This window comes from Homo sapiens, chromosome 9 (genome assembly GCF_000001405.40).
Source record: "Homo sapiens chromosome 9, GRCh38.p14 Primary Assembly".
NCBI classification, from domain to species: Eukaryota; Metazoa; Chordata; class Mammalia; order Primates; family Hominidae; genus Homo; species Homo sapiens.
This window is the reverse complement of record NC_000009.12, coordinates 133,080,484-133,094,032: the sequence shown is the minus strand read 5'-3', so window position 1 is coordinate 133,094,032 and position 13,549 is coordinate 133,080,484. Positions and strand designations below refer to the sequence as shown.

General features: G+C 52.9%; 1 non-coding gene and 1 pseudogene across 2 annotated transcripts, besides 1 other annotated feature; both read right to left on the bottom strand.

Annotated features, from left to right (window-relative positions):
* Nucleotides 1-881: 881 nt before the first annotated feature.
* On the bottom strand, nucleotides 882-981 carry LOC124902343 (small nucleolar RNA U13). Its single transcript, XR_007061919.1, has one exon. It is a non-coding gene; the product is annotated as a small nucleolar RNA U13 (small nucleolar RNA).
* Nucleotides 3,044-3,545: an enhancer, noted in NCBI's record as "H3K4me1 hESC enhancer chr9:135965875-135966376 (GRCh37/hg19 assembly coordinates)". NCBI's record gives its function as "activates a minimal SCP1, AML or CMV promoter by ChIP-STARR-seq in naive H9 embryonic stem cells {active_cell/tissue: H9 hESC(naive)}" and the evidence as "EXISTENCE:reporter gene assay evidence [ECO:0000049][PMID:30033119]".
* CELP (carboxyl ester lipase pseudogene) lies at nucleotides 6,942-11,494 on the bottom strand (annotated as a pseudogene). The gene is made up of 5 exons (NR_001275.2): nucleotides 11,407-11,494; nucleotides 9,391-9,577; nucleotides 8,990-9,193; nucleotides 7,576-7,775; nucleotides 6,942-7,247 (listed from the first exon to the last, which is right to left on the bottom strand). The product of NR_001275.2 is annotated as a carboxyl ester lipase pseudogene (transcript).
* Nucleotides 11,495-13,549: the final 2,055 nt, after the last annotated feature.

Here is a 13,549-nt window from a genome sequence, read left to right as displayed (position 1 = left end):
ATACAAAAAAGTTGAAAGTAAAATGTTGGAAAAAGTTATTCCATGAAAATAGTATATTTTAACAATGGCTATAGTATTATCAGACAAAATAGATTTTAAGTCAAAACCGTAACAAGACAAGGTCAGTATACACTGACAAAAGCTGCAACTTCTCAAGATACAACAATTGTATCCATACACACACTTAAAACACCCAAAATGTATGAAGCAAAAATTGATATAATTAAATGAGAAATACACAATTGGAGATTTCAATACCTCATTTCCAATAATGGATAAGAACAACCAAACAGAAGATCTATAAGGAAAGAGGATTTGAGCAACTCTATAAACCAATTAGACTGAGCAGACATATACACAACACACAAACCAGCAACAACAGACTACACATTATTGTCAAGTGTACATGGAACATTTTCCAGGATAGACCATATGTTAGGCCATAAAGTAAGTCTTAATTTTTTTTTTTAAGACGGAGTTTTGCTCTTGTTGCCCAGGCTGGAGTGCAATGGTGCAGTCTTGGCTCACTGCAACTTCCACCTCCCAGGTTCAAGTGCTTCTCCTGCCTCAGCCTCCCGAGTAGGTGGGATTACAGCACCCGCCACCACACCCGGCTAATTTTTGTATTTTTAGTAGAGATGGAGTTTTACCATGTTAAGCAGGTTGGTCTTGAACTCCTGACCTCAGGTGATCTCCCTGCCTCGGCTTCCCAAAGTGCTGGGATTACAGGCATGAGCCACTGCACCCAGCAATAAATTTTTAAAACGAAATTATACAAAGTATCATTCCAATTACAATAGGATAAAATTATAAATCCATAGCAGAAGAAAAACTGGAACACTCATGAATATGTGGAAGTTAACGCACTCTCTTCTTTTTCACGTCAGATGGGTAACGTGCCGACGTAAGGGTTTGAGGGTGACACATCTCACGCATGTGCATGAACACCCAATCATCATTGTTCATCAACTACAAAAGGATCTTAACACTCTTCCCCTCCCCGACTCCAGACGGAGTCTTGCTCCATCGCCCAGGCTGGGGTGCCGTGGCACGATCTCAGCTCACTGCAACCTCCACCTCCAAGGTTCAAGCAATTCTCCTGTCTCAGCCTCCTGAGTAGCTAGGATTACAGGTGTGCACCACCACAGCTGGTTAATTTTTATATATTTTTTAATAGAGATGGGGTTTCACCATGTTGGCCAGCCTGGTCTTGAACTCCTGACCTCATGATCCACCTGCCTCAGCCTCCCAAAGTGCTGGGATTACAGGCGTGAGCCACCGCGCCCAGGCTTAACACACTCTTAAACAACCAATGGGTCTAAAAGGAAGTCACAAGGGAAATTAGAAGACACCTTGAGACAAAACAAAAACACAACATACCAAAACTTACAGCATGCGGTGAAATTGAAAGCAGTGCTTGGGGGAAATTTATAGCTGTAAACGACTACATTAAAAAAGCAGAAAGATCTCAAATCAATAATTTATCCGCACACATTTAGGAATTAGAAAAAGAGCGAACTAAACCCAAAGCTAGCAGAATGAAGGAAATAATAAAGATTACAGCAGAGATAAACAAAATAGAGAATAGAAAAATAGAGAAAATCAGCAAAACCAAAAACTGGTTATTTCTAAAGAACAAAATTGACAATACTTTAGATGAACAAAGAAGAGACAAGACTCAAATTACTAAAATTTGGAATGAAAGTGGGAACATTCCTACCAACTTTACACAAATAAAAAGGATGAGAAGATAATGCTTTATAAGAGAATGCACCATTGCATGCCAGCAACATACAGTGGAATATTATTCAGTCATAAAAAGGCCAGGTGCAATGGCTCATGCCTGTAATCCCAGCACTTTGGGAGGCCAAGGTGGGTGGATCACTTGAGGTCAGAAGTTCAAGACCAGTCTGACCAACATGGTAAAACCCCATCTCTACTAAAAATACAAAATTAGCCGGGTATGGTGATGAGCACCTGTAATCCCAGCTACTTGGGAGGCCGAGGCAGGAGTATTGCTTAAACCCGGGAGGCAGAGGTTGCATTGAGCCGGGATTGTGCCACTACACTCCAGCCTGGGCAACAAGAGGGAAACTCCGCTTCTTAAAAAAAAAAAAAAAAGGTATGGTATGCCCACACATGCTACAACATGGATGAACTTTGAAAACATTACAATTCCACTTATGAGAAATATCTCCAAAAGGCAAATTCATGGAGACAGAAAGGATAGAGGCTACCAGGGGTTAGAGGGAGGGGAAATGAGGAGTTAGCTAATGGATATAGAGCTTCTATTTGGGGTGATGAAAAAATTATGGAAATAGAGAGTGGTGATGGTTGCCCAACAGTGAATCGAACTAATGTCACTCAATTCTACTCTTAAAAACAGTTAAATTAGCATCAGTTTTGTTATATAGGTTTTACCACAGTTAAAAAAAAAATAGTATCTGTAAGGACCATTTCCTAGCCCAGGTTGGTGGCTGCCTTTCTACAGCTTTAGGGGAAGAGGAGCATTTTCTGCTTGTCTTGCTGAGGTTTCTGTTGACCACCAATTAGGAACTTGTGGATTTCAAGGTCTAACTCTGGAATTTAGTCAGCACTAAGAAAAATTATAAACAGATAAAATGTACAATATGGAAAGTGGGGGGGAAAAGCTAAAGGAAGAGTGTTAGCCAGTGCACGGGCAGGACTTTGCCCCCTCAGTCCCTTCTAGAGGCCCGTGGTCCACCCTTTTTCTTAGACGGGAATCTTTGTTCCTAACCATAGATTTCCATTGCCTGTGCGTTTTCTCTCTGGGGAAAGACTTGTGATGCTGTGTTAGGGTTACAGTGGGCCTCATTCCATAAGCATTCCTGCCCACAGTGCCCACGTCACAAGGCCATGGTGAGGTCAGGCTCATCAAGTGCTCAGTGCAGTGCCTGGGCTTGGACCCGGAAGAGGTGGGGGTGGTCCCGACTCTGCCCCAACAACTCTGCCAGAGCCATTGGGCACCCCCAAGGGGCCCACCACCCAGCACCCTTGGCATCCTCTGCTTTCTACCCAGCACCCTTGGCATCCTCTGGCGTCTACCCGTGAACCAGGATGCCAGCATTCCTACAACTCCTTGTGTGATTGATGTCATCCAGAAACACCTTGGAAAGCCCCATCCCCTGTGCCCTGCACACTGTGGCCACTCGTCCTGCTGGAGCCTCATGAATGGCCAGTGAGTGCTGATTGCCAGGATAAGGGTGCTGATTCCTGCCAGCAAAAGACCTCCATACTCTCCCCCGATGGCCAAGGTGAAGCACAGGTCCGTGTGGTGCTGAGGTCCAGTCTCAGGTGATCACCAATTTACAGAGTCAGTCGTGTTGTTACTGACCCATCCTAAAGGGGTAGCTGGGCCCTGAGCCTTTAGAGCTCGCAGCCCCCTGAGGTGACTGTATTCTTTGTCCACAGTCTAGGATTTAGTTATGTCCCGGTTGGGCGTAGGTGTGTTAAACACGCAACACAGGAGTTGGGGTGGGGGGAAGAGGAAGGCCACTGAGACTGAGGATCCACAAGCACAGAAGGCCACAGCCTTACAATGAAAGTGCTGAAACATGTCCCCTGTGACAGTAAACATGCGCTGGCCCGAGCTCACCCCAGTGCTCTTCCAGGCTTCCTGGAACTGGGAGCCAGCAGGACCCCAGATGGCCTCCAGCCTGTCAGTATTTTCAACTTCATCATCTGGAGTCTGTAATGGCAAGAGCCAGATTGCAGGTGACTCTGAGCTGTCTCCTCCCTCTCGACAGCTGCAGGCATCACCCAGACACACTGCAGGGCTCACCTGTGCCATGGAGGCTTTTAAAGTAGATTTTCTGTTGCTTATAACAGAATACCTAAAACCGGGTAATTTATAAAGAAAAGGAATTTCTCACAGTTATGAAGGCTGAGAAGTCCGAGGTTGAGGTGTTATAGGATGGAAGGTCCTGACTGAGTTGTCCAGGTTCTTGGTGTATTGAACAAAGAAGTGAACAAAACTCACAAAGTAACAAAAGAATGAAACAATGACAGACAAAACAGGCCAGTCGCAGTGGCTCACGCCCGTAATCCCAGCACTTTGGGAGGCCGAGGTACCTGAGACCAGCCTTGCCAACATGGTGAAACCCCGTCTCTACTAAAAATACAAAAAAATTAGCTGGGCGTGGTGGCCGGTACCTGTAATCCCAGCTACTTGGGAGGCAGAGGCAGGAGAATCGCTTGAACCCAGGAGGCAGAGTTTGGAGTGAGCCCAGACTGTGCCATTGCACTCTAGCCTGGGCAATGAGAGTGAAACTCCACCAAAAAAAAAAAAAAAAAAAAAGACAAAGCAACAAGAAAACAGCTTACCAAAGGCACAGATTGATTGAAGCGAACGTGCAACCCACAGGGTGGGAGCGGGCCCAAGCAAACGGCTCAAGGACCTCCCAATTGCAATGCTTCTCAGGGTTTTTATAAAGAACACCCCAGATGCCCTTTAGAGGCCTCCAATTGGTTACACCCTATGAAGGATTAGCCTGGGACCAATCAGAGGCTGAAGTGGAGGATTGGCCCAGGGTCAATCAGAGGTTGAAGTGGAAGCTCCTGACTTGTTATCACAGCAGTGAGGATGTGGCCTGTGTGCTCCCCAATCCTGCCTAGAACTGGCTGCACCTGCTGTTCTCTGGCTTATGAGAACGGGCTGCACCTGCTGTTCTCTGGCTTATGTGAACGGGCTGTACCTGCTGTTCCTTTGCTTATGCCCCAACCCTTGGCTTCCCTAATTCCCTCTCCTCCTGCCTCAGAGAGGCTGCAGCAGGTGAAGGCCTTCTTGCTGGTGGGGACTCTGGTGTCCCGAGACGGTACTGGGCATCACGTGGTGAGGATGCTGAGCCTGCTCACATGCTAGCTCAAGTCTCTCTTCCTCTTACAAAGCCACCAGTTACCCTCCCATGATAACCCACTAACCCATGAATCCATGAATGGATGAATCCATCTACGGGGACAGGGCCTCATGATCCAGTCACCTCTTAAAGGCAGCACCTCTCAATACTGCCACATTGGGGATTAAATTTCAGCATGAGTTTTGGCGGGGACAAGCATTCAAACCGAAGCAGAGGGATGGCGGGTGCAGCCCAGAGGTAGAACACGCTTGGATCCCCACAGCCCATCCCTTCTGACGTGGCTTGGCCATCCAGGGATGTGATTTTCTGAATGACAGACATGACTGTGCTTTCTCTCAACAAGAGACGGGTGCCAGTCCCAAGGGTTGGGAAGAAGCACTGGGGTCCCAGGGGTTTCTCCCACAGTGCTGGAGGCGCCTGAGAGCTGACTCCACAGGTAGAAACACAATAATCCCTGTGGGTACCAGTGTGGCCAAGGAAGGGACACATCATTGTATCCTCGGGCTTCCGTTGCCCAAGAGAACAGGGACAGTCACTGGGAGAGGCCCACATTGCCGGGCAGCTCCATCTCACTCAGTCTTTGACAGGGAGTCCCCTTTTTACACCAGAGACCCCTTGACCAACCCAGGAAGCCCAGGGTGGCCAAAGTGGTCACAGCCAGCCAGGGTGTCCCCTGCTTCTCCAGGGGACAGGGTTCGTCCCGGCTCAGCTCTGCTGCATGAGGCCACAGGACTTGTCGGCCCTGAGCCTTATCCTCCCACCTGTAGGCTGGAGGGGCAGAGAGAGTGGCTAGCTGGTCCTTGGGTGCTGCTGCCCTCCACCGCGGAGCCCCCCAGGCAAAGTTGCTCAGGATTCCAGAATTTTCTCTCATCTAAGCCCCACCCTGCCCCACAGTGCCTGTTTAGAAGGTAGGTGAGGAGTGGGGAAGAAGACCCCCAACGTTGTTCCAAGCACTGGCTTTGGAGTCAGGGACCTGGGTTCAAATCCTTGCTCTGAGTGACCTTGGGCACGTGATGCCCTGTCAGGGCCTCATTTTCCTCTAAATATCTATAAACGTCTAAAAGGAGGGTGTACACCATACCCACCTCACAAGGCCATGGTGAGGTCAGGCTGGTCAAGTGCTCAGTGATGTGCCTGGGCTTAGACCCAGCAGAGGCAGGAGTACTCCTGACTCTGCCTTCTGCCCTCTGCCCCTGCCCCGTCAACTCTGCCAGAGCCATTGGGCACCCCCCAGAGGCCCACCACCCAGCGCCTACTGCCCAGCACCCTCCCCATCCTCTGCTTCCAACCTTCTGGTGTGATGTGTTATTCTTTCTTCCACTTGCATCCGGCTGGAGGAGCAGAATCCCTTTCTTTTCCCAGGCGGGTTCCCCAGACCCCAGTTAGAACACAGACTTCACTCCCTGCACCCAGAGGATGTGGGTGTGGCTGGGATCCCCTAGTCCAGAGGCAGCCACAGCCTGCCAGACCCCAGCTCCCTCTCTGACTGCAGCTGCCACCAGCCCCTCCCACCATATGGGACAGAATCTAGTCCCTGGGAGCCAGCAGCCTGGTTCCATTCAGGGAAGGGCAGGCTCTGGAGTGACCTGTGCCTGACTCCCACTCCTGGGCCTGCCAATCAACTTCCCTGGGCCCACCTCCTCCACTCGAAAGTGAGGATGGCACCATCAACGCCCCAGAGCCTGGGGATTGTGCCAGGTGATGGGGTCACAGGTTGGGCCCCCACCTGGTGCTGTAAGGGTAACTGAGGTCCACTCCTTCCTGCAGCTTAGCCTTGAGAGCAAAGAAAGACGCCAGACAGGGGAATGAGGTTTTATTCAGGAAGAGCTCAAGATGGGAGGGGAGCCCCTGGGGTTGCACCCTCTCGGCCTCTTGAGACCAAGGCTGATGGGACACTAGAAACTAATGACTGCAGCATCTGAGCTTCCTCGGAGTCATCTGTGGGGGACACAGGGGCAGCCTCAGTGTCACCCAAGGTGGGCACGGGCCTCAGAGTCACCCGTAGGGGGTACGGGGGAGCCTCAGAGTCACCTGAGGGGGACACGGGGGCAGCCTCAGAGTCACTTGTGAGGGGCACAGGGGCATCCTGAGAGTCACCCGTTGCAGGGACGGGGGCAGACTCGGAGTTGCCTGTCGGGGGAGACGGGAGTGGCCTCAGAGTCCCCTGTGGAGGGCATGGAACTGGCCTCCTGGTCGGTCACTGTGGGCAGCGCCAGATAGGTGAGGGTCCAGTAGCGCAGGAAGTTGGTTCTCAGGCTCCGCTTCATGGAGCTGCTGCCCATCTTCTTGGTGATCTCCAGGTAGCCGCTGTTTTCCGTAGTGTAGGGTTCCCAGTGTGTGGGCACAGCCGAGTGGCCCATGTTGGGGTCCCTGCAGAGTGAGAAGAGGCTGTGCAGGGGCTGGGGACTCCCAGGGGGCTGAAGCCCTGCTCTGCACCTGCACGCCTGAGCCATCCCCGCCCTCTGAGCTGGCCCTGGGCACCATGCCCCTCACTGCATACTGGGCACTGGCTGTGCACGTGCACGGGATTGGGGCTCTGCCAGTAACTCTCATCCTCAAACACACATGGATTCCGATGCAGGGGGAGGTTAAGTGACTTGCCCAAAGTCCCTCCACTGGCAAGTGAGGGAACAAGGCCTCATGGTGGGAGGCCCTTCTTGGCTGTGGCCCTCCGCCCTGCACTCAACCCACGTCTTACCCTGTTTTGGCAAAGTTGGTCCAGTAGGCGGTCATAGCCTTAGAGACTGTCCTGTCTTGGGGCCGGTAGCCCGGAGTGGGGTGGCAAAGGGCTCCCCAAAGATGTACTGGATCTCATCTCTATGGTCGGCCCCCACCCATTTGGGGTAGACGGGCATCCGAGAGGGATGGGAAAACAGGTAGGCGTAGGTCTTGGCACTCCTGGAGGGGAGAGACCACCCAAGTAGGCAGGGTGCTCACTGGGGACCGATCAGCCCAGAGACCGGACTTGGAGGGAGGTCCCGGGCAGTGGGCAGGGAAGTGTCTGGGGAATTCACATGAAGAGATGGGGCTTCTTACACCCAGGGAAGGGAAAGCTGAGAACCAAATTCATGGATTCATGGGTTCCACAATTTCAGCTGAATTTATACTTCACCTCCACAAAACATTGTGAGGCACCTTCCTTCTAGAATTCAGTATCAAGAAATATTTTGCTCTCCAAGTGAATGTGCATTCTTCAATTAGATTGGACAAGGTATAGGCCCTCAACTGTTTCCCTTTTTGCCTTGACTGAAAGGAGGCTCACAGCTAAATGTACTGCTTAGTTGCTGCAAAGCTTTCATCCTAGACTTCTAGGTATACTTTTATCTTCCTATCTTTTTCAGATTGCTAATTTATTTTTAATTTTTATTATTTATTTATTTACTTATTTATTCGAGACACAGTCTCACTCTGTTGCCCCTGCTGGAGTGCAGTGGCGTAATCTCTGCTCACTGCAACCTCCACCTCCTGGGTTCAACTGATTCTGCTGCCTCAGCCTCCTGAGTAGCTGGGATCACAGGTGTGCACCACCATGCCTGGATAATTTTTGTATTTTTAGTAGAGATGGGGTTTTGCCATGTTGGCCAGACTAGTCTCAGACTCCTGACCTCAAGTGATCCTCCCACCTTGACCTCCCAATGTGCTGGGATTACAAGGGCGAGCCACTGCACTCGGCCTTATTTTTCCTTCTAATTGGCTATTATTACATGAAGGTCTTTAATGAGGCCTTGGGCTGAAATTATTTTGTAAGGTGGCAAAGTTGAGGCCCATGAGAGTCAGTGGATAGAAACCATTGTCCAGTGTTCTCTCAGTGCACACAGCATGGGGGATGGAAGGTAGCTCAAGAACTCTCCAGTGGGAAGGACCATGGGGTGCAGGGCTGAGCAGGGCAGAGGATCATAGGGTTTGTAAAGCCCTGTAGGCTGGGAGGTAAAAAGAGGCCCTCAAGTCTTGCCAGGCCTCAGCAAAGTGGATCAGGCAGGCACAGGTGGGGACTCAAGCACCACTTTCCCAGACAACCCAGACACCTGAGAGCCACCCACAGCGAGGCCTCGGCTGGAAGGTGCAGCACCCCAGGAAGGCCCCCAGGAGCCACCCGCTGCCCAGATCCTCACTTGGCATTGGCTCTGTGCTGGGCTAGGGCAATCTCGGTGGGCACCAGGAAGAGGACATCGGTCTCAAAGTCCACCACAGTCTTCTTCTTATTCTCCTGGGATGGGTCCTGGGCCCAGGACTCGGTGTAGACATCAAAGGTCGTCTTGGCGCCTCTGAGCCCCTTGGTGATTGTGAACTCACTGACCAGCTTGTAGAAGTCCTCCCTGGGGGAATCAAGTAGGCACTGACACTCAGCCTGTGCCAACAGGAGGGTGTGTGCATACTCACCCCGACCGGTGCTAACTTCCTCACTCCCAGTCCTCCACTCAATGCCTTCCTCCTCCAGGCTGGCCCCCTCGCCAGTGCTTTCCCGGCGGCCCTCCCGCACGGGTCGCCCCTGAGTCCTGTGCCCCCTGCTTACTCCGTGACTTTCTTGTTGCCCTTGTTGATGGCAGGCATGTCGATGCTGGCGAAGATGTGGCCGTCCATGTTGTTGGTGCCTGCTATATAGTCGATGTCGGCGGCGTTGGCGTACAGGTTGATCGGGTCAGCGGGGATGAAGTCTCCATCAATGACAGGGACGAAGCCCACATAGTGCAGCATGGGGTCTGGGTGGGAGAGCCAGCAGGTTAGCAGGTTCTTGTACCTTCCAGTTTTCCCTGAGCCGCCCCTTGCCTCTCAGGGCTGGAATTGGCTATGTCCTCCCTTCTCTGATCTATGGACACTTGGGGCAGGGTTGATTCTGCACCATCAGGGGCATCCTGTGCCCTGTAGGATGTTTAGAGCATCCCCGGCCTCGACCCACGAGGTGCCAGGAGCACCCCCTCCCCAGCTGTGACAATCACAGATGTCTCCAGGCCCTGCCACACGTCCCCAGGCTGAGAGCCACTGTCTAGGGCCAGATCTGTCCTCTTCAGCGGCAGCCCCTCCCTCTCCTCTCTCTCTTTGCTGGGCCTGAAGCAGGAAGGAGGAAACTTAGAAGCCACTGAGGGAACTGATGGAGAAGGAGCTCCCTCTCTCAGGGCTGGGTTCCAGTCCATCAGCCAAAAATGGTGCGAGGTCTGCATTGTACTCCAGACCCCTGGACGGGCCCCTAGAGGACCCAGTGGCTGCTGAGGCAGGCGGGGCCTGGCTGTCACTGGGCCCAGCACAGCAGGCTTTGCTTCTAGCGGGGCCGTGGGGGTTGCTTTGTTTGGGCTTGTCCATCCTGAGGGCCTCAGGGTGGGGAAATGGGGAGGGGTCGTGATGACCTGCCGAAGGCCTCTCAGCACCCCAAGAAGAGCTCGCCCAAGAAGAAGGTGACCTGTCCTTTGAGTCAGGAGCCCAGGACCACTGCCCAAACCTCCCGGTCCCAGGGCCAGGGAGTGTGGAGAGCAGGCAGCAGAGGTGGAGACAGGAGTCCCCAGGGCCTGAGACACCGCAGGCGGCAGAACAGCGTGGTTGGGATCTGGGGTCCCCTGTGTGACTCCTGCTGGGGGCAGGGACTGGGCCGGGCACCGACACCGGCTTCCTGTGGGGCTTGGGGTTTCTGTGGCTTCTCCTTCACAGGCAGAGAGGGTAGAATTTATGGATGCCTCGAGAGAGCTCCTGCCTGCCGGCTCTCTTTCTGGAGGGACCCGGACCCGGGTGTGGAGTAGCTCGGCTTTCAGCTTCCTGCACAGGAATAGGAGGCAGCAGCTGTGCCATGCTGGGCAAACTGCCTGCCTGCTTCTCTCCAGCCGTCTGCCTGCTCTCCACACTCCCTGCCCCTGGGCCCGTTTCCCCTTCTGTAAAATGGGAACAACAGAGAGGTTGGTAGGTGGAATCACCAGGATTAGCAAATGTAAATTCAAGAGGCCCAGTTACATTTGAATTTCAGGTAAACAGTGAATTGTTTTTTAGTATGTTTCATTTTTTTCTTTTTCTATTTTTTGAGACAGAGTCTCGCCCTGTCACCCAGGCTGGAGTGCAGTAGCGTGATCTCAGCTCACCGCAATCTCCACCTCCCAGCTTCAAGCGGTTCTCCTGCCTCAGCCTCCCGAGTAGCTGGGATTACAGGCACCCACCACCACGCCCGATTAATATTTGTATTTTTAGTAGAGACGGGGTTTCACCATGTTGGCCAGGCTGGTCTCCAACTCCTGACCTCAAGTGATCCACCCACCTCGGCCTCCCAAACTGGTGGGATTGCAGGTGTGAGCCACTGCGCCCGGCCCATAGAAATTTGTTTCAAATATTGCATGGGACATACTTACACAGCAGTTCTTGGCAGTTTATCTGAAATTCAAATGGAATTGGGCATCCTGCGTTCTACCTGGCACCTGTCCCCATAGAAATGAGCGTGAGTGCCCGGGATCTGCTGCGGGGCTGTGCTGGGCTCTTTCTCAGCCTGGCCCGAAGTTTCCAGATCTGATTGAGCGAGAGAGCAGCAGGACCTGCCCCTCTGCTGGGCTCTTACCTTCGCGGCACTCGCCACTGCCCAGCAGCAGGTGAGGCCCAACACAACCAGTTGCAGGCGCCCCATGGTGAGCATCAGCCTCTGGGTGGCCCTCCCTCTGGGCCTCGGGTATTTATGGAGCTGGATCCAAGGTCACATGCTTGTTCATGAGCTCTCAGGCACTCCCTCCCCTCTACACCCTCAGGTGCAGGGAGATCCAGTTTTCCCCAAACCCACAGTGCACCTGTGCAGGTTACCACTTACCTGGGAGCAGAGGCAGGTGGCAAGGTGGCGGGTGGTAAGGGGGATGGTGGGGCCGGGCAGGGTGCACAGTGCCCTGCCTTCTGGTTTGTTCACAGGGCTTGGTGTCACTGTCAGAGAAAAGGGCATACTTTGTCTCCATGCCCTGCCTGTCCCCTAGGTCCCCAGAGGGGCTTCACAGGGGACCAAGCACGTGACTTCTGGGACAGAGAGGGTGACATGCTGTGGGCCCCCCACCCAAGTGGCTGACCTTATCTGTACGAGCTTTTCCTGGGGCCATGGAGCAAGCAGTCCAAGCTGGGTGCGGGTCCCAGAGCAGCACAAAGCCGTCTCATTCAAGGGTGGGGAGATGTCACCATCCAGCCTGATGCATCCTGGGAGGGAGGACTAGAGGCTCAGGGGGTGTGGGTGGGGGGGTGCGGAGGCATCTAGCCCAAACTTGTGGTCTTCCCTGAGGAAAGAAAGGACACAGCCAAGGCCCTGGGGCATGCCCAGGCAGAGTGACAGGAGAGAAAAGGAGGCCAGCGGGAGGGAAGGGAGAAGGTCCTGTGAGGTTGTGGAGGAAGAGGAGGCCACTCGTATTTTCTGTGAACAGGTATTAATCCTGGAGCCAGGAAAGGCTCTGAGAAGTGAAAGAACACCACGAACAAAGTCTTCAGATGGGGCCTGTAAGCTCAGCCAGTGTGAGGTCACCCTCACCGAGACGCTCGGTGGCAGCTCCAGCCACCGCACAGCCCTCTGCAGTGATGGGAACAGGGTGAGGGCAGCCAGAGCCTTCCCACCCAACAGTCCCCCAGGAGACACTGGGGCCTGTGCTTCCCACACCAACCACACTCCCGTTCTGCCACCCCTGCGGCCGGTGCCAGGGACCGAGTGGACCTGCAGAGCCACGTCTGTCCCTCTGTCTGTCGACCACAGCCGGTGCCAGCAATTCAGGAGGCCTAGTGGGCGAGGGAGGCTGGGGAAAGGACTGGAGGGTGGGAGGAGGAGCTCGGCCACAGGAAATAAGGGGCCTGCAGGTGGCTGGGGCGCCCCAGGGCAAAGGCATTTGCCTCAGACCTTTGCCCGGCTACTCTAGTTCTGAGAACCTGCCCTAAATAAAGGAGGTAATTCTGAACTGGGAGACATGCCCTTTGTGCTCCAGGATATTCACTGCAGTGTCATTTACAGTGGCTAAGGAGGAAAGGGGAGGGCAGAGGGGAGGCAGCAGGGAGAGGAAGGAGGTGGGGGAGAGGGCTGGGGCAGGGGAGAGGGAAAGGAAGGCCCCACTTTTTATATATATACATTTTTAGAGCAGATTTAGGTTCACAGCAAAATTAGAAGAAGGTTACAGAGATTTCCCGTATGTCCTCGCCCCAACCCAGTCTCCCCCATTATCAACATCCCCCACCAGGGGGTACAGCTGTTATACTTTATGAACCTACATTGACATGTCATAATCACCCAGAGTCCACAGATTTAGGGGTTTTTTTGTTTGTTTTGAGACAGGGTCTCACTATCACCCAGGCTAGAGGGCAGTGGCACAATAACAGCTCACTGCAGTCTTGAACTCCTGGGCTCAAGGGATCCTCCTGCTTTAGCCTCTCAAGTAGCTGGGATTACAGGCGCCCGCCATCACACCCGGCTAATTTTTGTATTTTTAGTAGAGAGGGAGTTTCGCCATGTTGGCCAGGCTGGTCTCGAACTCCTGAGCTCAAGTGATCTGCCCGCCTCAGCCTCCCAAAGTGCTGGGATGACAGTTGTGAGCCACTGCGCCCAGCCCCTAACCTAGTTTTGGCCATGCTCTGAGCCCACATTCTTTGTGGAACCTCAAGATGGTATCTAAGCTCTGTACTCTGTTGAGAAGTTGGGTCTCCATTTCAAAGGCTCCCGTGTATACGCATTAAACAAATATGTATGCTTT